General features: G+C 45.0%; 1 protein-coding gene and 1 long non-coding RNA gene across 7 annotated transcripts in view, besides 1 other annotated feature; one reads left to right on the top strand and one right to left on the bottom strand.

Annotated features, from left to right (window-relative positions):
- Positions 1–25654, top strand: part of SEZ6L (seizure related 6 homolog like) — a 214135-nt gene that overhangs the window by 181245 nt on the left and 7236 nt on the right. The window contains exons 12-15 of one of the 6 annotated variants that reach the window (NM_021115.5): positions 346–537; positions 14666–14860; positions 22745–22777; positions 24869–24983. In NM_021115.5, coding sequence (NP_066938.2) covers positions 346–537; positions 14666–14860; positions 22745–22777; positions 24869–24983 — 535 coding nt within the window. The remainder of the gene's footprint in view (positions 1–345; positions 538–14665; positions 14861–22744; positions 22778–24868; positions 24984–25654) is intronic. The other 5 variants (NM_001184773.2, NM_001184774.2, NM_001184775.2 and 2 more) reach the window with 5 other exon arrangements.
- Positions 1633–10319, bottom strand: LOC124905096 (uncharacterized). The gene is made up of 3 exons (XR_007068038.1): positions 2931–10319; positions 1995–2056; positions 1633–1717 (listed from the first exon to the last, which is right to left on the bottom strand). It is a non-coding gene; the product is annotated as an uncharacterized LOC124905096 (long non-coding RNA).
- Positions 17055–17174: a silencer, noted in NCBI's record as "silent region_13566". NCBI's record gives its function as "represses an Ori minimal core promoter by ATAC-STARR-seq in GM12878 lymphoblastoid cells {active_cell/tissue: GM12878}" and the evidence as "EXISTENCE:reporter gene assay evidence [ECO:0000049][PMID:35858748]".

The following is a 25654-nucleotide window of genomic DNA, read 5'->3' on the forward strand; positions in this document are numbered from 1 at the left end:
AGTGCAGTGGTGCGATCTCGGCTCACTTCAAGCTCCGCTTCCCGGGTTCACGCCATTCTCCTGCTTCAGCCTCCCGAGTAGCTGGGAGTACAGGCGCCCACCACCAGGCCAGGCTAATTTTTTGTGTTTTTAGTAGAGACGGGGTTTCACCATGTTAGCCAGGATGGTCTCGATCTCCTGACCTCGTGATCCACCCGCCTCGGCCTCCCAAATTGCTGGGACTACAGGCGTGAGCCACCGCACCCGGCCAAGTTAGGAAACTTTCTAGATCATTCTGTAATTCTCAGCAAACCCATGGTCATCCAGAGGTCTGACGTCCTCTTGGTCTGGTTTCATCCCGTGTAGTTATGTACTGCACCGACCCCGGAGAGGTGGATCACTCGACCCGCTTAATTTCGGATCCTGTGCTGCTGGTGGGGACCACCATCCAATACACCTGCAACCCCGGTTTTGTGCTTGAAGGGAGTTCTCTTCTGACCTGCTACAGCCGTGAAACAGGGACTCCCATCTGGACGTCTCGCCTGCCCCACTGCGTTTGTGAGTCCTGTTTAATGAATTGGGCCCCCAGTAGGTAGAAGCAGATTCACTTTCTCTTGTTCATGATGGAAGGCTGGGCTGCTAGGAGGCCTTCTGCTTTTCGACAGGGGCTTTTATTATCATTACTATGACAAAACAGTACCTAACACTGATTGGGAGCACACATACTATAACATTTACAGTAAATTTATCACGCGTTGCTCTAAGTCTTCTACCAAATTTCACTCTTTCTTCCTCAAGTAGCCCTGGGAGCATAGTATACTTTGTTTTTTTGTTTGTTTGTTTGTTTGTTTGTTTGTTTGTTGGTTGGTTGGTTGGTTTTAGATGGAATTCCACTATGTCACCCAGGCTGGAGTGCAGTGGCACCATCTTGGCTCACTGCAATCTCCGCCTCCTGGGTTCAAGCGATTCTCATGCCTCAGCCTCCCGAGTAGCTGGGATTACAGGCGCGTGCCACCATGCCTGGCTAATTTTTATATTTTTAGTAAAGATGGGGTTTCACCATGTTGGCCAGGCTGGTCTTGAACTCTTGATCTCAAATGATCCACCCGCCTCGGCCTCCCAAAGTGCTGGGATTACAGGCATGAGCCACCACCCTGGCTTCACTGATTTCATTTTAAGAAGAGGATACTGTGCTAGGTGTGGTGGCTCACACCTGTAATCCCAGCACTGTGGGAGGTCAAGGCAGGCAAACCACTCGAGCCCAAGAGTTTGAGACCAGTCTGGGCAACATGGCGAAACCCTGTCTCTACCAAAAAAATACAGAAATTAGCCAGGCATGGTGGTGTACACCTATTATCCCAGCTGCTCAGGAGGCTGAGGTGGGAGGATTGCTTGAGCCCAAGAGGTCAAGGCTGCAGTGAGCTGTGATTATGTCACTGTACCCTAGCTTGGGTGGCACAGCGAGACCCTGCCTCAAAAAAAAAAAAAAAAGAATACTACTTCAAGGCTCTCTAGGGATTCTGATATACAAACAATGTTCACAGTCATTGCATAAGGAAAGCATGAAGTTACACGGAAGGAGCAGAGCCTTACACAGTATTTTGGGGGTTAGAAACTCTCAGCTGCACTAATATTTTAAATTAGTGTGTTATGAACAACTCCATTAGGAATACAGCCAGTTCAAACTCCAGAAGCCACAGTGAGGTCTTGATAGTGTTGAAGAACCAAGAATTTAACTCTGGGGGGAAAAAAAGAAAAGAAAAAATAGAATTCCTGTGAGTTGATTATAAATTCCCCTACATCTGATGTGAGTAACACTGTGTACAATTTATAGACTTGGCCACCTCCTATAGTGGCTATGTTTTGTGACTTCTCACAAGTACCTAAAACAGGCTTCACAAATTTTGATGACCACACTAACAAGCAACTCTACGATTTAGACGAGCAAACTGCAGAAAGGCAACCAGAAAGCAGGAAAGTCCTTGTCCGTTTTCATTGGATAGGCTGATACTTACTGAGCACTTACTGTAGGCCAGGTGTCATTCTAAGAATGGCGCATGCATTAACTCTTTGATTCCTGGCAGGAAAACAAAAATGGAGATGTCTGTTGCCTGTCGTTGAAGACAGAGTATGGCCAAATTCACACTCACAAGAGACCTTCCTCTCTGCTCTATTCATGAGCCAGCCAAAGCCAAGTTCCCGTGTGCTAGTTCATAAATTCAGCTTCCCCAGCCCACAGAAGGGCTTTACTCTACAGATCCCAAAAGAATGAAGAGTTTTAGGCCCAAAGCGCTTGCTTCATAGATTTCCCTTAACATCTGATCCTTTTCTTGTGAGAGAAAAATTTCCATTTCTGTGTTCTTATTTTCTCTTCTCAAAAAGGGACACTTTATTATTCTGTTTCCACAAGTAACAGGGATTCTTGGACCACACAGCCCTGTGTCTCCATCTGTCTTTTTAGTCAGAGTCCCAGAATTTCAGAGCTGAAGGGAATCTGAGAGATAAAATACAACTGCAGGATGACTTAGAGATAAAATGCAACTGCCCCCATTGTACAGATAATAACAATAGTTACTTATTGAATGTAAAAGACACATTGCTAAGCACACTATACATATCTGTAAACATGTGTTTTTGTGTATGTGTGTGTATATATAGTGTGTGTACATATGTGCATATATATGCATATACACATATACTAAGGAAACTGATATTCAGAGGGAAGTACAAATAACAAGAATCATTGCTCATTGAATGTGTAAGACACATTTCTAGACACTATATATATGTGAATCTATGCATATGTGTGTATTTATACACACATACTAAACCTAGCCCCTTAACCACAACCACACTTGGTCCCCAAGCCCCAGAACCTTGGGCCAAATCCACATTGGTTGGTTCCTGTTATAGGTTGAATCTATCCCCAAAAGATATGTTAAAGTCCTAACCCACAGTATCTGTAACTGCGACCTTGATTGGACATAGCGTCTTCGCCATCCTAACCCATGGTATCTGTAATTGTGACCTTGATTAGAACTTCAAAGTTCTAACCCACAGTATCTGTAACTGTGACCTTGATTGGACCTAGCGTCTTTGACATCCTAACCCATGGTATCTGTAATTGTGATCTTGATTAGAACTTCAAAGTTCTAACCCACAGTATCTGTAACCGTGACCTTGATTGGACACAGTGTCTTCAACATCCTAACCCATGGTATCTGTAACTGTGACCTTGATTAGAACTTCAAAGTTCTAACCCACAGTATCTGTAACCATGACCTTGATTGGACACAGTGTCTTCGACATCCTAACCCACAGTATCTGTAACTGTGACCTTGATTGGACAGAGTGTCTTCGACATCCTAACCCATGGTATCTGTAACTGTGACCTTGATTGGACGTAGCGTCTTTGACATCCTAACCCATGGTATCTGTAACTGTGACCTTGATTAGAACTTCAAAGTTCTAACCCACAGTATCTGTAACTGTGGATTTGATTGGAAATAGAATCTTTGCAGATGTGGTCAAGTTAAGCTGAGGTCGCACTGGATTAAGATGGGTGTTGATCCAATGACTGGTGTCTTTGTAAGAAGAGGGAAATCTGGACACAGATGGGGACACAGATACAGAGAAGGCCACAGGGTGACAGAGGGAGAGATTAGAGTGATGCAGCTGCAAGCCAGGGAGCACGAAGGAAGGACCCCCCCCAACCGCCCACAGCATTCAGAGGGAGTGTGGCCCTGCTGACACCTTGATTTTGGACTTCCAGCCTCCCAGCCAAGAAGTTTCTGCTGTCCTAAGCCTCCCGGTTTGTGGTCCTTTGTCAAGGGCAGCCCTAGGACGTCAGTGTCATTCCCATTTCCTTCTAGTGACTGCAAGAGCGATCAGAAGCAGCCACTTTAGTAACTCCAGCTGCAGAGACCCAGAGATGAAAAGCTTAAAATAAAAGCTTCTATTAAAATACTGAAAGGTGGAGGCATCATTTTTTTAAAAAAGAAAAAGCACTTCACCAATGAGACCCAGTCTCTAAAGACCCTCTGAGCTGCGGCAGCTGCTGCTGGATTTCCAAGACGCAAGCCTCCCTCCCTCCCTTCGGGAATGCTTTTCCCTGAAATCTCAGCATTGGATCTGCAGTGCTGAGTAGAGACGGCTTCCCTTACACCCATGCTAATGAGTTCACGAGCCACGCGGGGTGTCAGGAGACACGCGGTACTCCCAAAAGCCTGAAGAAGAGCCCTGCGTGTGGTGGCAGCGACGTGACAAGCGGGTGAGGCTGATGGGAGATAACGCAGGAGGCGAGAGATGGTCCGATTCTGGCAGCGCGGCTCCTGAGTAAGAGGGAGGATGCAGTCTAGGTTCTGAAGGCATTTTTAAGGTTGAGGTTGTCAGACATAAAACAGCTTTGAAACGTTTTGTCGACTGAACAAAGGGAACAGCACCCATTTGATGGGCCCCTTCAGTAGGCTGACCTTTTCCCCAACACTAACACTCTTCACCCTCACGGAAATCGCACAGGTGAATGCCTGTCCACTTAAAAGCAGGCAAAGAAGGACTGGAGAGGGTGAGTAGCTTTCCTGAGGTCACACAACAGAAAGGAAGAACAGAATTCTAACTCAAGCCTGACTAAACCCAAAAGCATCTTCCCAACCTCATCACTCTGCAGTTCAGCTTTTGGGCAAACCTCTGGTGCTTAAGAGTGGACAAAGATCCACCAAGAAGTTAATGAAGCAGACAGAAAACTGCATAAGCCCCTGGGCCCAGTGGTGAGGTGGCTCACGCCTGTAATCCCAACACTTGTGGGAGGCTGAGGCAGGAGGATCACTTGCGGTCAGGAGTTCCAGACCAGTGTGGCCAACATGGTGAAACCCCCGTCTCTACTAAAAATACAAAAATTAGCCAGACTTGATGGTGAGCACCTGCAATCTGAGCTACTCAGGAGGCCGAGGCAGGAAAATCACTTGAGCTCAGGTGGCGGAGGTTGCAGTGAGCAGAGATCACGCCACTGCACTCCAGCCTGGGCAACAGAGGGAGACCCTGTCTCAACAACATAGAAACAGAAAAGAAAAGAAAAGAAAACTGTATAAGCTCTGGTTGTCTACAGCCTCTTGCCCAGTCACTTGCCCAAAGCCATAGTTTGGTCCCCTGGGACTGAAAGCCATATCTTTTTAATCCTAGTCCATTTACCCCAGGGCACTTTAAGAACAGACAGGTCAGGCAGAGATAAAGGGAAGAGTCTGGGTGTCAAAGTCAGACACACCCTCCAGCTCTGCTGAGTGACCTTGGGCAAGTAACTTGCCCTCTCTGGGCCTCAGAGCCCCCATCTGTGAAAGAAAATAATACCCTTTACCAAGAAGGATTGTTGGGAGCAACTCACTCAGTCATTCAGCTTACTCAGTTGTTCAGGCCTCCTATATGCAGGCACACGCTAGGACAGAGGTTCCCAAACTTTCTCAACTCATGACACCCTTGGTGTCTCAGGAATTTTTTCACAGATTTCCTAGGCCAAAATACCATTTCCATTTATTAAATACCAGTTCCATTTATTAAACAGTTAGGTACAAACAACTGAATGAGTAGTTATCTCTTCACAGCATAGTAGCCATTTGAAAAAGTAATGCACATACATTAAAAGAAAAACGGTTTTTTTTATTATTAAATAATGACAATTGCTGGCTGGGCGTGATGGCTTACACCTGTAATCCTAGCACTTTGGGAGGCTGAGGCGGGCAGATTACCTGAGGTCAGGGGTTCGAGACCAGCCTGGCCAACATAGTGAAACCCCGTCTCTACTAAAAATACAAAAATTAGCTGGGTGTGGTGGCACGTGCCTGTAATCCCAGCTACCTGGGAGGCTGAGGCGGGAGAATCGCTGGAACCCGGGAGGCGGAGGTTGCAGTGAGCTGAGATCATGCCACTGCACTCCAGGCTGGGAGACAGAGCAAGATTCTGTCTCAAATAATAATAATAATAATAATAATAATAATAATAATAATAATAATAATAATGACAATTGCTGCTACGAGGATGTGTATACCCGTTGGGCTGTGCAAATCTTCTTAAACGTTAGGATCAGATGGGACTTCGCCACCCTAATTTCCTGTTCCACATTGATTTTGTCACAGTTAGCACGAGCACCACAAAAAAATCCAGCTTTGCAATGATGAGTCATCACCAAAACAAAGGTGACGTGATCTAATGTTGAAACGGTGAACTATCTTGAGCTGGTAGTTCACAAGGGTCCAACACATCATTGTGTTTCCTCAGAACTTTTTTTTTTTTTTGAGACGGAGTCTGGCTCTGTTGCCCAGGCCGATGTGCAGTGGCGCAATCTTAGCCCACTGCAAGCTCCACCTCCCGGGTTCACGCCATTCTCCTGCCTCAGGCTCCAGAGTAGCTGGGACTACAGGTGCCCGCCACCACGCCTGGCTAATTTTTTGTATTTTTAGTAGAGATGGGGTTTCACCGTGTTAGCCAGGATGGTCTCCTGACCTTGTGATCCACCCGCCTTGACCTCTCAAAGTGCTGGGATTACAGCCATGCGCCACTGTGCCCGGCCCTCAGAACTTTTTTTAAAAATCCCACAGCACCCCCTGTGAGTTCCTGGTGGCATCCTGGGTCACCTTGGTGAAAGTTTGGGAACCCTGGCACTAGCCCCTGGAAAAACAGTAAGGTATAAACAGATATGACCCACATTCTCATGGAGCCTGGGGCCTATTTGGAAAGGAGGGTGGAGAGACAGGTCTATGAAGGAAATCACAATGAATCGTCAGCACCACCTCCTCCAGGAAGTCCTCCCTGATTTCCTAGGCCGGGTTGTGTTTCTGTCCTCAGAATTCCCATGGAACCTACAGTGACATCTGTCACCACAGCTGCTGCAGTTTATTGAAATGATCTGTTTATATGTTTGTAGAATCACATTCCCTAGAGTAAGAAAGAGAAAGAATTTTAAAATATATATATAGAATAAACACATAACTCACCTGCTAGGATTGTCTCCAGTTGATCCTTGAATCCCCCAAGCCCAGGAGGCTCGACAAATGATGTTACTATTACTGTCGTTGATATTGTTAGCAAAATGAATGTGGTCTTTATCACACCTCTGCTTTGTTGCAACTTCCCCTCTTTGATAAGGACGTGGTGGATGACTCCTGAGGTAACCATCCCAAAGACATAAACCACACCACCAAAACTAAAAAGAATCTGACAAATCCGGCAAGGGTTTTATGAGTGGCTCTCCAGGAGCCACTTAGCTTGCTTAAGAGACAGCGATTCCCCGGGAGGCCCTGGTTCTCACAGCCCTGAGCCCAGAACACCTGGGATACGAGACACAGGGATTTCCCAGCCTGGACAGAGCCCACAGGTGCTGTGGCCAGACTGTGGCCACCGTAGGAGCTTCCACTGTTGAGCCGTCTCCTGTGGCCACATCTTGGCCAGCATGTCCAGTGTTAGCTGAGTTCCCGTCCTCATTTAGAAATCTCTGTCTCTGGGAAAGCGGTCTCTCACAGAAATCCATGATAACCCTAGGGGATTTGGGTAAAAGAAGGGCCTTTGTTATAGCAGAACCATTAAATGGACAGCACTAAAAACCAGCACGTCCAGGTTTGTACCCCAGCCCTGCCTCTTACAAGCACCATGACTTTATACAAGCCAGCTTTCTCACCAAAAAGATTGAAAAACGAACATGCCAATCATAAATATAAAGGCTTTTAATGAATGGTGTGCTTGGCACATAGCAAGTCGTCAGTTAACATTGGCTGCTAATCACCACTCTGTTTCAAAGCTCCACTGCTTGTAGGGCATATTGCAAACCATTTGTAACTATTACTAGGGGACTTGATTTCGAGCTTTTTGTTCAAATGTGCTCCAGAAATGTACATTTTCTTCTATTGTTAAAGAGAGGGGAAAATAGAAAAAGAAAACAGAAACGAGAGTGGGTTCGTGAGTAGATCTATAAGGCCATCGGTCCAATTCATTTGCATTCCTGGGAGAGAACGGCTGGAGTTACACCAGTTGCAACCCGAATTGTTTAAAACATTCGACCAGTGGTTTTCAACCAGAGGCGATTTTGCTTTCCAGGGGACATGTGTAAATACAATTTCTAGAGAAATTATGAGTTGTCACAACTTGTCAGGGAAGAGGGGTGCTACCGGCTTCTAGCAGGTCAGGGCCCAGGATGCTGCTCAATATCCTCCAGTGCCCAGGACAGCCCCCACCACAAAGAATTATCCATTCCAAATGTAAAACCTGTCTAAGTTGAGAAAACCTGCCTTAGATGATCTTATTTCAAAGTGTGACTACATGTCACTGCCTAGCCATGTCTCGGCTAAGGTCCAGACTGTTTATGGGCAGAAAAAAATGGAGTATGGAGACATAAGCAACTCACTCAAGGTGGTGCAGCAGACACAGGCCTCCAGTTTCAAATTCAAGTTCCTATTCCTTTGACTCTTCTGCCATCTTCTAGGTGCTGAAGATACACACAAATGCCTTCCAAGAGCTGGTTCCTGCTGGGGAAAAATTCCATATGACATTGTTTTCAAACTCTTACTGAGGACTGGGTCAAAATTGAATCAGGCTGACTTGAAAGCTAGAGAATCCTCAGCTCAAATTGCAGCTCAGCCACTTCCTGCTTGAGGGGACTTTTCACCAGTGAGTTCCACCTGAGCCTCAGTTTTCTCATCTGTAAAATGGCTGCATGGTGCAGTGGTTAAGACCGGACTTGGACCACCTGGATTTGAATCTTATTTATACCACTAACTAGCTTGTGACCTTTAACACGTTACCCAACCGTTCTGCGCTGCATTCTCCTTGGATACAAAATGGAGATGATGACCAGGCATGATGGCTCATGCCTGTAATCTCAACACTTTGAAAGAACGAGACAGGAGGATCACTTGAGGTCAGGAGTTCAGGACCAGCCTGGGTAACCTCAGGGTCCTCAGGACCCTGTCTTCATAAAAAATTTTTAAATTAGCCAGGCATGATGGTGCACGCCAGTGGTCCCAGCGACTCGGGAGGCTAAGGTGGGAGGATCTCTTGAAAGGGAGGTCAAGGCTGAAGTGAGCTGTGTTCACGCCACTGCACTCCAGCCTGGGTGACAGAATGAGACCCTGTCTCAAAAATAAAAATAAAATAAAGTAGGAATAAAGATATAATATCTGTGTCTTAGGGTTGTTGTGATAACTAAATGAGTTCATAGATATAAAACACTCAGAATGGAATCTGGCTCAGAGAATGCCCTCAGTAAATATTGTAAATGTTGGCTGTTTTGGTCATGATTGTTATTACCTTCAAGGACTTTGCAGAAGGATTAGAAATAATATATGCAAATCATCTAATACAGAATGGTTGTGCAAATACTTTGGAAATTAATTAAATGATGAGTTAATATGTTAACCATGCCAGGACACCAAACCAGTGGTTCTGAGCCCTTGCCAAACTTTAAAATCTCCTGGAGAGTTTTAAAAAGAATACTCTGGGTGACTAATTAAATTAAAATACCATAGGGGCGGAGCCAGGGCACAGGATAACCCAAGGCCATTCTAGCACTTAGCCTGGGGGTCCTGCTCCTAGGTCGGCTGTCAATATCCTCCTTTACACCCAGGTCTAACGATTTATCCTTTATGCACCTTCCATCTCCCCAGGGCGAGGACAGTGTTTAGCACAGGTTTGGTATCAGGAAATACTTCTGGAATACATACAGGACTGAATTAGTGTTCAGTTACATGAAGGCAGGGACCATGTTCGCCTTGCTCATCATTGTATGCCCGGCGCATACAATGCCTGGCACACAGAAGGTGTCCAGTGAATATTTGTTGTATTAATTCATCTGTTAATTTATGAAAGAAAATTTCCGAGGAAAGGTTCATGGGGGAATTCTTTTGTGTCGCCACTGCCACCTGCTGGTCATTTTTCTGCACTGCAGGTAATACAGTAGGGATTTGTGTTCTCTGAAGGGAGCCACCAACGTCATCAAGAAAAAGCCTCCCCGACCAGGGGGCGGGAAAGTGAGGCTTCTCCTGTGCGCTTTCCCCAGCACAGCTGAGACCACACTGGGCTGTAATGACCCGGTAACTGTTCTCTGTTCCCCATTCGACTGAGTTTTGGGAGAACAGAAAACGTGATTCTCTAATTCACTGCTTCATACCCAGCTCCTAGCACAGGGATGGAACATTGGAGGAACAGAGTCTACGGGCTGAAAAAAAAACAAAAAACAAAAACAAAAACAAAAAAAACACGGAGAGTGTATTCTGGACTCTGGGAGTTCAAAAGCTATAAAGTGTTGTGCACCGGGCTGCACTTCCCGAGGAGTAGGAGTATTAGATACACTACGGGGATACCCACGCGGCTTTAAACAGTGTCCAGATGAACTTTTTGTGAGTCGTTTGGCTTAAGAAAATTAGAAAAATTAAAACTGACATGTGAAACCTCTGATTATAAGACTATTATTATTTAGAGTGAGGCTAAATTATACTGTGCAATCTAAATAGAAAAACAAGTCAATAGAAATTTTTAAAAATATATTACATAGGCCAGGTGTGGTGGCTCATGCCTGTAATCCCAGCACTTTGGGAGGCTGAGGCGGATGGATCACTTGAGGTCAGGAGTTCGAGACCAGCCTGGCCAAAATGGTGGAACCCCGTCTCTACTAAAAATACAAAAACAAAAAAAATCAGCTAGGCTTGGTGGCGCATGCCTGTGGTCCCAGCTACTCGGGAGGCTGAGGCAGGAAAATCGCTTGAACCCAGGAGGCTGAGGTTGCAGTGAGCTGAGATCACACCACTGCACTCCATCTTGAGTGACAGAGTGAGACTCTGTCTCAAAAAAAAAAAAAAATATATATATATATATATGTATTAAGTGAACAACAGTACAATTGGTATGAAAATATGACAAGAGTTTTAAAAGCCATAAAAATAATCAGTGTATATTGGGTGCTCACTATATGCTGCCCATCTCATGTGCGTGAGCTTGTTTTATTCTCATAACAACACCTTGAGACAGCCCATTTTAAAGATGAGGAAACTGAGGCTCAGAGAGGTCAGTTGTGCTCACAGACATACAACTAGGATGTGCATCCTGAGCCCTTGGACACTTGAACCCAAGCGCTCCTGCTCTGCAATTTGCCTTTAAATGAAATGATGTGAGGTCTTTCAAGAAATATTTACTGGGCACCTACCCTGTACCAGGTTGCCAAGGATGCAGCAGTGAGCTCAGCTGGGTTGAGGACCAAAGACTTCCTCAGGATATTTTCAGAGGAATCATTAGAATATGATTGGCACTGGGTTCTGTTCATTATACCATCTATGCTTATTGTAAAGTAATGCAGACCCACCCTGCATTAAAAAAAAATACATCAAAGCACAGGCTTTAAAAATAAAAATAAAATTCTCCCTTCCTACAGTCCATCCCCAAGGCACGCTCTGCAGGGTGAATGATTCCTTGCCAGCCCTCTTAGGTCTCATCCATAAACACATAATAGAGTGCTGCCTTGGAGGGAGCCCCATGATTGACTTAAGCAAGGCTTTGTGATTTGATTCTGGGCTCAAACACAGAAGCGTTGGCTGCATATCCATCCTGCTCTGGAATGCCAGGGGGCAAACTTCAAGTATACAGATGACCTTCAATTAGTGGAAGGATTAGCCTTGGCCAAGTGTCAGCTGAACCACTTACTGCCTCATCTCTGGGAGTCTTGTGGAAAGGGAGCTACATTCAAAATCTCTGCCTCTCTCGCTCAACTATTCCAACAGCCCCTTCCCTTGGCTACTTTAGGGGTCTTCTGCAGCCACCCAGGGTCTTCTGAGTTTCTCTCTTCTATGGCACCTGCCATTTTTAATTAAATTGTCCATTTACACATTTGCTTGGCCCCTTAGAGCATGCAGACCATGAGCTCTAGAGGACAGGAATGATGTCTGATTCACCTCCTCACCGCATTGCTGGACGCATTGCTGGGCATGAAGTAAGCACTCAAGATATATTTTCTGAATAAATGCATGGGTGCCCGCCAGAGCTATCTATGGTGTCATCCAAGATGCAACTCCAGCTGCACAGTGACCTGGGAAGTCTCTTCCCACAGGCTGACTTCTGGGCTAGATTTCAAGGGTGGGAAGGAAACAGTTCATAACTCCCAGGGAAGACTGCTATTGAAGTATAAAGGAAAACCCTTCAACCTCAAGAGTGAAGCCAGATTCCTACCCGTCCACCCACTGGAGGAGATCAAAGTCCCGATTCTTCATGTATGGTGATTACTGTGACTAAAACATACTCATCAATTGATTCATTCATCTTTTCATTGGAAAAGTGATACATTTAAATGCCTACAAGGCCAGGCAAGTACCACGTGAAAGACAATAGGGAGTGGCAGAGACTGGGGCTAAAGTAAAGAATATTCCTGGTCTAACAGGGAAAGCCATTACTCAACTCCAGCCAGTCATTGCCATGTAACAATGTGAACCCAGTATTGCCCAATCTTCTAATGTTTCAGAAGAATCCAGAAATCTAAATTATTATTTGAAATCTCCTAATCTGTGAAAGCTTGGTAACTATTGTTTCAGTTGACATTACTCAAGCTGAGTAGAGCCCAAATGTAAGTCATGTTCACAGAGAAAAGGGTTCTAGCTGGGACCTATACTGTACTGTGTGCCTTGAACCACAAGTGCCGTAGGACCAGGGATTATATCTGTTTTATTCACCTCTGTGTCCTCAGTACTATTTATGTTGTTGGCACATAATAATTGCTCAATAAACATTATCTGAGTAAATAAAGGAATGCTTCCTGTGAACCAGGCATTGTACTGGGTATGAGCATATATGAGTTTAAAGCCTGGGAAAGAAGTGCCAGAAAAGATTCTGAAGTTATGATGATGATAAGACAGAGTTCCAAGGACAGAATTCATGCCTTTGGGGAGCAATCTGGGTCTTGAAGGCATGCTTGAGATTCATCGTGCAAAATGAGACGCTTCAAACAACACGTTTATTATCTGACAGTTTCTGTGGGTCAGAAATCTGGGCATAGCTTAACATGTACACCCATGTTCATAGCAGTATTGTTCAGAGTAGCCAAAAGGGGAAGCGACACAAGTGTCCATCGATGGATGAACGAAAAACAAAGTGTGACACCTGCCTACGATGGAATATTAGCCTTGAAAAGGAAGAAAATTTTTGACACATCTTGCAACCTAGATGAACCTTGAGGACATTATGCTAAGAGAAAGAAGCCAGTCACAGAAGGCAAATACTATCTGATTCCACTTACATGCGATAACTAGAGCTGTGAACTTCATAGAGACAGAAAGTAGAATGGTGGATCCCAGGGGCTAGGGTAAGTTGTTTAACGCATATAGAGTTTAAGATTTGCAAGATGAAAAGAGTTCTGGACATAAGTTGCCCAACAATGTAAAAGTACACTAACCTACTGGACTGTACACTTAAAATGGTTAAGATGGTTAGTTTTATGTTATGTAGATTTTACTACAATTTAAAATTTTTTAAATAATAAAGTTTAGAATGTTTTAGGATTTGTAGTCCTGTGTGTGAAGCAATTTGCTGGCTGTCCATTCCATCCAGGTGCTGAAAAAGGACTAGATCTCACATGCGGCCTGGAATGGGTTAAACCTGCAGGTTCAACTCTCCAGTAAATACTGTGATCCTAACACCTTGGGAGGCTGTGGCAGGAGAATTGCTTGAGCCCAGGAGTTTGAGACCAGCTTGGGATGCATGGCAAGACCCTGTCTCTACTTTAAAAAAAAAAAAAAAAAAAAAGCCGAGTGTGGCGGGACACGCCTATAGTCCCAGCTACTCAGAAGGCTTAAGCAGGGGAATTGCTTGACCCTGGGAGGTTAAGGCTGCAGTGAGCCGTGCTGCACCACTGCACTCCAGCCTGGGTGTCTTAGGCTACCGGGTACTTTGTGTCTGCAGCTGAAGAGAGCAGTCACCAGATGGCAGTATGGGCTTATTTGTAATAGTTGAGGCCTTTTGTTGCCAGGCTCCCAGGCCCTGAGCTTCAGGCTTGCTCTGATAGGCTCATCTCCAATGAGGGAAACAGATAACTAATTCAGTACAGTACAGTGCATGCAGTGCTGGAGAAACTAAGAAGACTGACGACTCAATTCACGGTAGGAGGCATCAAGGAAGGCTTCCTGGAGAAGGAGAAATGAAGATTGAGTATTGAAAGACAAGACGTAGTCATAATGGATGCGCAGGTTAGGTGTCAGGTGAAAAGCAAGAAGAAGATTTCATAATTAAACACCACCACCGTCCATCATTTACTAAGTACGTATGACATGCCAAAAACAAAACATCTTAAGCATTTCCTTACTTACCTATTTTAGTCCTCCAAATTCCTAGGAGATAGATATTACTTTGATCGTCGTTATGCTAATGAGGAAACTAAGGATCAGAAAGGTTATGCCACTTGCTGGCGATCACACAGCTAACAAGTAACAGAACTCATATTTTAACCTTGATTCCTCAGCCAACTTCATTCTACCTTGCCTGTATGTAATCTGTGCCCAGAGGTGGAAGACAGAAAGAACAGTTTGAGAAATAGAAAACAGTCTGATGCAAGGTGGGGATGCAGAGAGAGGATGCTGGAGAGGCTGACCAAAGCTAGATCACACGGGTTCTGAGCAGGACTCCCCAAAGATTTGCATCATCTCATCAGAGCTCCTTCTGGCTTGCATTTCAGCGGAGGAGTCCCTGGCATGTGACAACCCAGGGCTGCCTGAAAATGGATACCAAATCCTGTACAAGCGACTCTACCTGCCAGGAGAGTCCCTCACCTTCATGTGCTACGAAGGCTTTGAGCTCATGGGTGAAGTGACCATCCGCTGCATCCTGGGACAGCCATCCCACTGGAACGGGCCCCTGCCCGTGTGTAAAGGTAAAGAAACCTACTCACCACACAGGGTCCACGGGGCCTGGAGATGTCAGGCTCCTGGCTCACAGGAGTTCTGAACTTGCTCTAAAAAATTGGACTAGGAGTTCGAGACCAGCCGAGGCAACATAGTGAGACCCCCATCTCTACCAAAAAAAAAAAAATTAGTCAGGCATGGCGGCACACACCTGTAGTCCCAGCTACTCGGGAGGCTGAGATGGGAGGATCACCTGAGCCTAGGAGGTCAAGGTTGCAGTGAGCCTTGATCATGCCACTGCACTCCAGCCCGGACAGAACGAGACTCTATCTCAAAAAAATTAAATTAAATTTTAAAATAATAGAGCTGAGCTGCTGTACTTCATTAAATCTAAGATGTCACCATGACTTTATGCACCACTAAAAAAGAAAAAAACATGCTGCCAATTATACTATGACACAATGTCTTCTCCTGGCTTAGCATTTTTATTTTTACTTACTAAAGGAGCTTTTGACCAGGCACAGTAGCTCACGCCTGTAATCCCAACACTTTGGGAGGCTGATGCAGGCATATCACTTGAGGTCAGGAGTTCAAGACCAGCCTGACCAACATGGTGAAACCCCATCTCTACTTAAAATACAAAAAAATTAGCTGGGCGTAGCGGTGCATGCCTGAAGTCCCAGCTACTCGGGAGGCTGAGGCAAGAGAATCACTTGAATCCAGGAGGCAGAGGTTGCAGTGAGCCGAGGTGGCTCCACTGCACTCCAGCCTGGGTGACACAGCGAGATTCTATCTAAAAAATGAAAACATAAAGGTCTTTAAGCTTTTTATCATATATCACAATTATGAAAATGTTCAAATGAAAATATAAGCAGCCCAGGTGCAGTGGCTCACACCTGTAATCCTAGCATTTTGGGAAGCTGAGGTGGGAGGATTGCTTGAGCCGGGGAGTTTGAGACCAGCCTGGGTAACATGGTGAAACTGTCTCTACAAAAACAAAATAATGATAATAATACAAAAATTAACCTGATGTGGTGACGTGTGCCTGTAGTCCCAGCTACTTGGGAGGCTAAGGTGGGAGGATCACTTGATCCCAGGAGACAGAGGTTGCAATGAGCTATGATCATGCTACTGCACTCCAGCCTGGGTGACAGAGTGAGACTCTGTCTCAAACAAACAAACAAACAAACAAACAAAATACAAGCAAAATAAACTGGTTCCAGTGTATTTAAAACTTCCCCACCTTCAAAGTCTGGCACTTTTGATTTTCTAAATTATTACTAAATTTTTTTGTAGAGACAGGGTCTTGCTATGTTGGCCAGGCTGGCCTAGAACTCCTGACCTCAAGCGATCCTCCCTCCTCTGCCTCTGAGTAGCTGGGATTGCAGGTATGAGCCACCACACCCAGCTGTAGAATCATTTTTTACTCCAAGTCTTCAACATCCTATTTTTCCACTCAATATCGCTCCTGTTGAATGTCATTGTGTACTAAAATATATATACATTTACATACATACATAGCTCCTGTCCCATTAAAGCATCAGGGATGCAGAATTCTGTAGGAACGTCCATAACGAACTAAAGTCTTTGATACAAGGGGCTTGCAGTTACATTGAGGCAGGGCTGGGACGAGTCTGAGGCAAAAGAGGTGCCTGAGGTGAAAAATGTAAGGAGGTGACCAAGCGTCCCGTAGAACAGCCTTAAAAAAAGAGTCTCCGTACACTTCTCGCCCTAGACAGCTCTCGCCTTGCCCTAGTCCCGGCCCTGTGATCCAGCCTGGTTTTTGTTGATTTGTTTGTTTGTTTTTGTTTGTTTGTTTGTTTGGAGACAGGGTCTTACTCTGTTGCACAGGCTGGAATGCAGTGGCGTGATCATTACTCACTGCAGCCTCAACCACCTGGGCTCAAGCTATCCTCCTACCTCAGCCTCGCGAGTGGCTGGGACCACAAGTGCACGCCACCACGCCCAGCTAAATTTTTTTATTTTTGTAGAGATGGGGGTCTCGCTATGTTGCCCAGGCTGGTCTCTACTCCTGGCCTCAAACGATCCTCCCACCTCGGCCTCCCAAAGTGCTGGGATTACCGCATCTGACCTCTGCCTGCTTTTGACCCCTGCTTAGAGAACCCTGCTTAATTATTTCCCACCTCTTGCACTGCCTCCTCACAACCAGTTAGTTCCCATGGGTTAGGAGTGTTCCTCCACTGCCTACAGGGTGATCTCCCAGGGCGTTACCTGGCGTTCTGCAAACCCTAATACTCTTAACGCCCCCAGTTTGTGCACACGGGGAATCGTGAGCGCCACCTGGTGGCAGCTATTATTACACATTATTGCTTTAAGCCTCGCCCCCACCTCCCAGATGGTGAAGTGAGAAAATTGCATCTTAGAATCCATTGAACACTCATCACTAAAATTAAGTTGTAACACACTAAGTAAAATTTGGATTCGTTTATCTGGACTTTTGAAGTGCACAATCAGTAATAGTAACGGAAATATGTTCAGTGTTTTAGGCCAGTGGATCTTAACCTTTATTGCTTTAGTGCCCCTTTGAGAATCAGGCAAAAGGCTCGAATTTGCCCTCCAGAAGGAACAGAAGCATGAAGTTTTATGTCTCTACTTGGGAACCCCTAACTTCAGTGGATCCCCAAATGCCTTATTCATGAACCCCAGCTCTGAGGCTTAAAACTACTTTCCCAGTTAGTTTGTCCACTCCGAGGTATATTTCCAAAAGAAGTGAAACAGGTATTTAAGCAAACCCTGTCTAAGAATGTTTATAGGAGCACTATTCACAATAGCCACGAGATGGAAACAACCCAAATGCCCACCAACTGATGAATGGATAAACAAAAGTGTGGCAGAAAAAAGGGAATATTATTCAGCCATTAAAAGGAACGAAATACTGACACATACCACAACATGGATGAACCTCAAAGCCGTTATGCTGAGTGAAGGAAGCCAGACACAAAAGGTCACATGTTTTAGGGTTCTGTTTCTAGGAAACATCTAGAATAGGTAAATCCATAGAGACAGAAAGCAGAGTCGTGGTTGTCTAGGGACTGCTTACTGAGTATGGGGCTTGTTTTGGAGATGAAGAACATGTTTTGGAACTAGGCAGAGGTCATGGTTGCGCACCATTGTGAATATGCTGAATGCCACTGAATTGTAACACTTTGAAATGGTTAATTTTATGTTATGTGAATTTTATCTACCTAAAAAAAAAAACAATTCCCCTGAATCACCTCTGTTAAGTCTTATGACCACTGTCTAAGATAGGTGAGCCATCTTACCTGTTTTACAGATGTGGAAGGAGAAGCTCAGAGAAGTTAAGTGATTTTCCCAAAGCCACACAGCTAGTACAAGACAAAGCTAGGACTTGAACCCGCATCTCATGACTGTAAATTTCCCGCCTTCAGGGCTACTAAGAAAGACCCCCAACCAGCCAGTCACCGCAGCATGGAAACCTAGGTGTGTTCACACATTCCCGAATCTAACCCAGATCTCCCAAAGCAAAATCATTGAGAGGCGGGCCTGGAATAAGCCTTTTAACAAGCTCTCAAATGCACTTTGAATGTGAGAACCATTTAAGGCCGTGATTTCCAAACATAAACGGAGTCCTGAGCCCTTTCCACGGAGATTCTGATTCACTGGGTCTAAAGCAGGACCCAGGGACCAGTTTAACTAACCACACAGGTGAATTGTATCATCAGCCAAGTATGGGAAACACTAGCATGAGGGTTGCAATTTAATCTTACCAGGTATCAAGCAGGGGCTCATCACGTGAATGACAATGACTTATATAAGCAGTTCTTTTGTTTTTTTTTTTGAGACAGATTCTCGCTCTGTCCCCCAGGCTGGAGTGCAGTGGCTGGATCTCGGCTCACTGCAAGCTCCGCCTCCCGCATTCACGCCATTTCTCCTGCCTCGGCCTCCCGAGTAGCTGGGACTACAGGCGCCCGCCACCACACCCGGCTAATTTTTTGTATTTTTAGTAGAGACGGGTTTTCACCGTGTTAGCCAGGATGGTCTCGATCTCCTGACCTCGTGATTCGCCCACCTCTGCCTCCCAAAGTGCTGGGATTACAGGCGGAGTCACTGCGCCCGGCCGTAAGCAGTTCCTAATAAGAGAACAAGGGGTCCTTTTGAAGAGCAGCGAACAGTAAGAAATCCACAATTAGCATTCAAGACAGCTGCCTTCCCTCATTCCCCCATAATTTTGACTAAGTCCAGCCCAGTGTTTGAATTTATTTTATTTGTGTATTTTTAATAGAGACGGAGTTTTGTCATTTTGCCCAAGCTGGTCTTGAACTCCTGGGCTCAAGGGATCTGTCCACCTCAGCCTCCCAAAGTGCTGGGATTACAGGCGTGAGCCATCATACCCGACCTGAATTTATTTTTGATAGCACAGGAAACCTGCTTTGCAGAGCTTAAGTATTGGGAAGTTCCTGAGTAAAGATTGCCTGTAAACCCTCTAACTGTCACATGGACATTAATAGAAATTAATTTGACATTGTTGATGAGTTTTCTGCAGGGAAGAAAAATTAGCAGGATTTGTTTTTTAAGAAACCTTGGCCGGCGCGGTGGCTCACGCCTGTAATCCCAGCACTTTGGGAGGCCAAGGCAGGTGGATCACGAGGTCAGGAGTTCGAGACCATCCTGGCTAACACGGTGAAACCTCGTCTCTACTAAAAATACAAAAAAAATTTAGCCGGGTGTGGTGGCGGGCGCCTGTAGTCCCAGCTACTCAGGAGGCTGAGGCAGGACAATGGCGTGAACGTGGGAGGCGGAGCTTGCGGTGAGCTGAGATCGAGCCACTGCACTCCAGCCTGGGTGACAGAACGACACTCCATCTCAAAAAAAAGAAAGAAAAAAAACCCTAAATAAGAAAACCATGAAAAGGGCCACTTTGGCCTGGACAACGTGTTTGTATCTGCCACGGTAGCTTTTTAAATTCTTCTTGGATTAATTGCAAAGGTATCTCATGGAACAAGTAGAAGAAATCAGAGCTTCAAATGGAAGGAGCAGTTTTCCTCTCTCCTCCATCCCTTTCTTTCTTCTCCAGAAGCCAGTGCTAATCACCTGAATTTCCAGTGTCACACCTTTCCCTAGTCTTATACACATAGACATATTTGGAAAGAGAGAGGGATGTTTGTTTTTGTTTTACAGAAAAAAAAAAAGAAAAGAAAAAAAGGCTGGGTGTGGTGGCTTACACCTGTAATCCCAGCACTTTGAGAGGCCGAGGTGGGAAGATCACTTGAGCCCAGGAGTTCGAGACCAGCCTAGGCAAAATAGTGGGACCTCATTTCTACAAAAAATCAAAAAATTAGCGGGGCATGGTGACACACTCCTGTAGTCCCAACTACTTGGGAAGCTGAGGCAGGAGCACTGCTTGAGCCCAGGAGGTTGAGGCTGCAGTGAGCCATGATTGCACCATTGCACTCCAGCCTGGGAAACAGAGCAAGACCCTGTATCACAAAAAAAAAAAAAAAAAAAGGGAGGGAGGTTCATATCATGCTGTATTCTGTGTTTTACTTATTACAAAAGTAGTGCCATGTTATTTTTTTTATTTGCCACCCGTCATTCCACACTTTGCTTGTTCCCCAGTGCATTCAGCCCTTCCTCTGTTGATGGAGACATCAGTTCTCTTCCAGTTTTTTGTTTGTTTTGTTTTGCCAAAAAAAATCTTGCCCATGAATCCTTGGATGCTGGCACTTTTCATCCTGCAGGACAGATTCCTCAAAGCAGGATTGATGGTGTGGGCAAAGATCTATGGATATCGAGTTGTCCTGGATGTCACCAAATCGTTTCCCACAATTGGAGCAATCCACGCTCACCAACAATGTGTAATATGTCCATTTCTCCACCTCCTCGCCAGCACTGTATGTTTTCAATTTTTTTTTAATGCTGCCAAACTGAAAAGAAAATAAAACTACCATCAGAATATACACAAATGTAGCTGGGCATGGTGGTGTGCACCTGTAATCCCAGCTACTTGGAGGCTGAAGTAGGAGAATCGCTTGAAACCGGGAGGCCGAGGTTGCAGTGGGCTGAGATTGCACCACTGCACTCCAGTCTAGGTGACAGAGCAAGACTCTGTCTTAAAAAATAATAATAATATACACAAATGACAAAAAAAGGAAAAAAAAAACACGAAAAGATAAAAAGAGGCTCCATTTTGCAGGTGATCCCTGAAACCTCTCTTTTCTATGGGCTAGTATCTCTAGAAGCCCCACAAGGTCAATCAGCTCACTGCCTTCTCCCACAACTGTGATGGAATTGCTAGCAAGAAAGGCTCTCAGGAGACCCCTGCACCTTTCTTCCCTCTCCATTTCCACTCCTGAGATCCGTCCCACCACCAACTCTGTAAGGAAATGAGAAATCACTTCCTCCTCAGAAAAAAACTGGGATGCATGACATTGTGGTATGCAGGAGGGGAAGCAACTCAGTGCCAATGTGAGGCCACCTGACTGGGACTTGGGGACCCCGGGCTCCAGTCCAGTTCTGCTGTGGACCACCTGTGTGACCTTGAGTGAGCCCCCCTCCCTCTCTGACCTTGGTTTCCCTTTTTGTGAAATAACTGGGGGAGTCCAGATCAGAGTTTCTGAAGAGGAGCCAGTGAGCCCACTGGATGCATCAGAACTGCTGAGGCATTGGTGAGACCTGCAGAGGTCCACCGCTGAGAATACCGCTCTGACAAGTCCCAGGAATGGCCCAGGAATCTGCATTTAACATGCCCTGTGGGGTTCATGAGCACAGGGCTCCAAGGAACACATGATTCAATGCCTCCTCCCAGTTCTAAGATTCCATGGACATTCACGCACTCTCACTCAACCACGGTGCAACTCACATCTTGGGGCAGGACCATCTGCTTCAATCTTTCCATTTTCTTGATGCCAAAGCTGCAGAGAAGTGTGCACTTAGTTAGCCAGCTAGCTTTTCAGCTGGTTTTGTCATCATGGTGTGATGATGGCGTAAACCAGAGAGTGACTTTAACCAAGGCATGGATTAGGGTGTCTTGGGATTGGGGACATCAGTATAGCTAAGCCTTTGGTGGCCACTCCCTCCTATCCCCTAATGCTGCAATTTTTTCATCAAAGTCCTTCATGCTGGGGTTTTGCATTCCTGTAATAAACATCCATCCTTGTTGGTATATTTTTGTGCTTAGCTACCATGATGACTGATGACAAAGATGGGGTGCCAGTCCCCATGATGTTGAACCTCCGGAGAAGTTTTACAAAAAACATAAATGATTAAAAATAGTTTCACATGGGATACAAAGCCTCATCAATATAAAAGGAATAAAAATGAAATTAGAGAGGTTTACATAGATAGTCTTCAAAACAGGAAAACAGTTCCACCTCTGGCTGGATTTTGTATGAAGGTCTGGGGCCTCGCAATTCATTCGTGCTTTGCCCCACATGAAAATGATGAAAAGACCCTAACCACATAATTGAGAGCAGAAACCAGAGAGCTTGAGCAGCCCAGACTGAAATCCTGCCTCCATCACTGAGAAGCTGTGTGATGTCAGAGAAGTCACTTCACTTCTCTGAACCTCTGTTTGCTCATCTGTAAAATGGGGATGATAATAGCATTGACCTAACAAGATTGTTATGAGGATTAACTGAGCAAATGTATGTAGAGTTCTTGGCACAATTTTGGACACGCGGTGAGTGTTCAGTAATTATTCACTATCACTGTTGTTGATCTTGGGTCTTATCTATCTCATCTTCTCTTGGTAACTTAGGAAGTGAATAGTCCAGGCACGTTCACTGATTATAGTGGCCCAAGATAAGTAAAAACATACCACTAACTTCACCAAAGCATGGCATGGGCTTTTGCATCAAATTTTTTGGCCTCATTTCATGCAAACGAAGTGAATTCACTTTACATTGACCAATGCTTCCTGATTTCTCTTTCAGTTAATCAAGACAGTTTTGAACATGCTTTAGAAGGTGAGTTCCAGAACGAAAAAAAAAAAAGTTCAATAAATCAAACTAATAGCACAAAACAAGGGCAGGTCTTTGAATATCTTTATTTAGACACTTAAAAAATAAATAAATTCTACCTTCAGACTGCCAAAGATAATCTTAAAATAATATTGTAGGGGAAAAAAAATTATGGGATTTGCAAGTCAGGACCCTAACAATAACCTGAAAGGGATTTGACAGCTGTTCTGTACATGGTAACAGCAATGAGATAAGGAAAGCTCAGAGCCCATAAGCCTGAGAAAGGCATAACCCTATTGTAAAACTTTTCATGATGCCATTCTAGAAGGGGAACTAAATCTAGTGACATGTCACCTTCCATGCTGAGAGTCCTCCTGGTTTCCAGAGGGAAGAGTTTGCCCTGGAAGCATTCAATGGTCCATTTTTCCCTGAGTCTTTTTTCCCCTCAGCATACCCACCCCTTCTCCCATCTCTCCTTACTTCAGCTCTCCTTTTATTAGAAATTCCCAAATGAGACTTATTAATGAGGAGCAGATGTTAAAATCTATCCAGGATTTTATTTCAGTTTTGTTTTCATTTTGTGGTTCCTTCCCTTTCCAACCCCTCCCGTGTGTAAAATGTCCAGCGTTCTATGTCACCGCTATTGAATTTGGTACAAAACCACTCACCGGGACTGTGATGTAAAATATATACTGTAATATATTACTGCATGTATATATATGTAAATACAAATGCAGTATATTATAGCATATATATTTAAAAATATATACTGTAATATATTGTTTCTTTTTTTTTTTTAATGTTTTTACCAAATCAAGCAGTTTTTATTATTCCTGGAGCCATCTTTAGCTTTCTGACAATAATGAGTTCACTTAGAATCTGGGGCTATGTAAATTACATTTCACTAGTGGCTGTTCCTTGTAACAGACAACACTTGAATCCAAGCAGGTGGAACTAGGGCTCATATATAAATGAAGGAGCATGAATTATACACTCCACTTGGAAAACAGAGGGCACTTCGTGTTAGTCTCCATTCAGAGTATCCTTTTTCTGCCTTTTGCCAACCAGTGAACCATGAGAACGTCTCAAAGGGCTGGGGTTGCTCGGAGCTTATGAGAGCCATTGTAACGTTTTGTGCTCATGCATTTATTCTGGGTATTAGGATTGATTTTTCAGACCCCATAAAGTGGTGGTTAATGGGTTATAGATTGGTGTACAGCCAAGCTCTATTAGATGTGACCGTGGAGAATGGCAGAGGAAACCTGGAGGCCAAGTTTCTAGAAGGAATGTAGGATCCCCCTTTAAGCTATGCTGGGAAAGCAGCCCTCTGCCCCAGGCGCCTGCAGCAGCTGTTATAGTTCTTGCAATTGCCACAGTGGGAGGTTGAGAGAGCAGCCGGGAAATGTGCAGGAGTAGCCTCTGGGAATCAAAACGGGCCTTCATATTTGGGGTGTCATTGGGGTGTGCAGGACAGAGAGCTGTCAGTCCCCAATGCTCAGAGCCCACTCGTGGACTGGAGAGTAGAACTCAAAAGGTCTAGGACGGGCCCGTCAGTCTGCATGCAACAAGCTCACCAGTCCACAGGTGAGCACCAGGTCTGAGAATCCCTTAGAAACCTTGCGGCTGACCACCAGCACCGTTCAACTCAACGACATACACAAACCCAGATTCGCCCACCACTCCTGCATCTGGGGTCCAGACCCATTCCTGTTTCTCTTCTCCACTCCATGGAATGTCCAGCAAATCTGCTTTCCCAGTTACTGAATTTGGGATTTTCTCCAAGTCTTCCTGTGAATTGGACTTTAATCAGATTTTAACTGTAGCTCCCAAAAAATGGGAATGGTACGATCAGGTTTCAAACAGTGTAATTCTCTATAGCTCCTATGGCCAACCCACCAAAGGATGAGTCTGGGACCCCTTGCAAAGGACCACCACCATTTCCTCTAGTCTTTGGAGATGGCTCTGCAAGGTCTAAGGCCCTCCCAGAGCCTTAGACCTTGGAAAGCCGTCTCCAAAGGGGTGGAGAACTGGGCAGTTGGGCACTCACTGGGAGTCAGCTACCTGGGAAATGAGGACCTCACTGGCTCCTGTGTTCAGTAGCAGAAGCGGCAGCAGAGACGTCGCTGGAAGGGGGGAACATGGCCCTGGCTATCTTCATCCCGGTCCTCATCATCTCCTTACTGCTGGGAGGAGCCTACATTTACATCACAAGGTAGGGAGCTGATGGGGGAGATGACTGCCAAGCACCCAGCCACCAGTACTCAGAGGGACTGGGCGGTTCACCTCTCTGAGCCTCAGGGTCTCCACCTGGAGCTCGGGCATAGTGGCATTTGTGTTATTGCAGAGATGCCCAGATTCAGCCCAACTCTGTGGGATAAATATTTACATTGGGCAATTATGAAGCCTCCAAGCAAGTAAGACAAATACTATTCCTGCCCTCAAGGAGGTTATGGTTTAGTGGGGCACACAGACATAACATATTGCCAGGCATGTTGATTTGTTCCTTCCATCACTCACTCATTCACTCATTTATTCAACAAATATGTACTGACAATCTGTTGTATATCAGACATTGTCCCAGGTGTTGAGGGTCTAGAAACTTGCATTTGATGCAGAAGGAAGATATTAAACCATGCACCAGAATAGCCACTCATTCATTCACATTCACAGTTGTTGAGCACTTACTAGGTGCCAGGCAGTTTTCTCGGTTCCAGAAACATCATTTGTGGAAAAAAAAAAATAGAAGGAAATATTTGCCCTCCTGGGGTTCAGGTTCTAACAAGGAAAGATAGACAATAAGCAAAGTATGTAAGAAAATATGTAGTGTTAGAAACTGATAAGTGCAGGAAGAGAAGGCTGGGAGGGGGCAAGAATTCTGGAAGA

This window comes from Homo sapiens, chromosome 22 (genome assembly GCF_000001405.40).
Source record: "Homo sapiens chromosome 22, GRCh38.p14 Primary Assembly".
In the NCBI taxonomy this organism is placed as follows: Eukaryota; Metazoa; Chordata; class Mammalia; order Primates; family Hominidae; genus Homo; species Homo sapiens.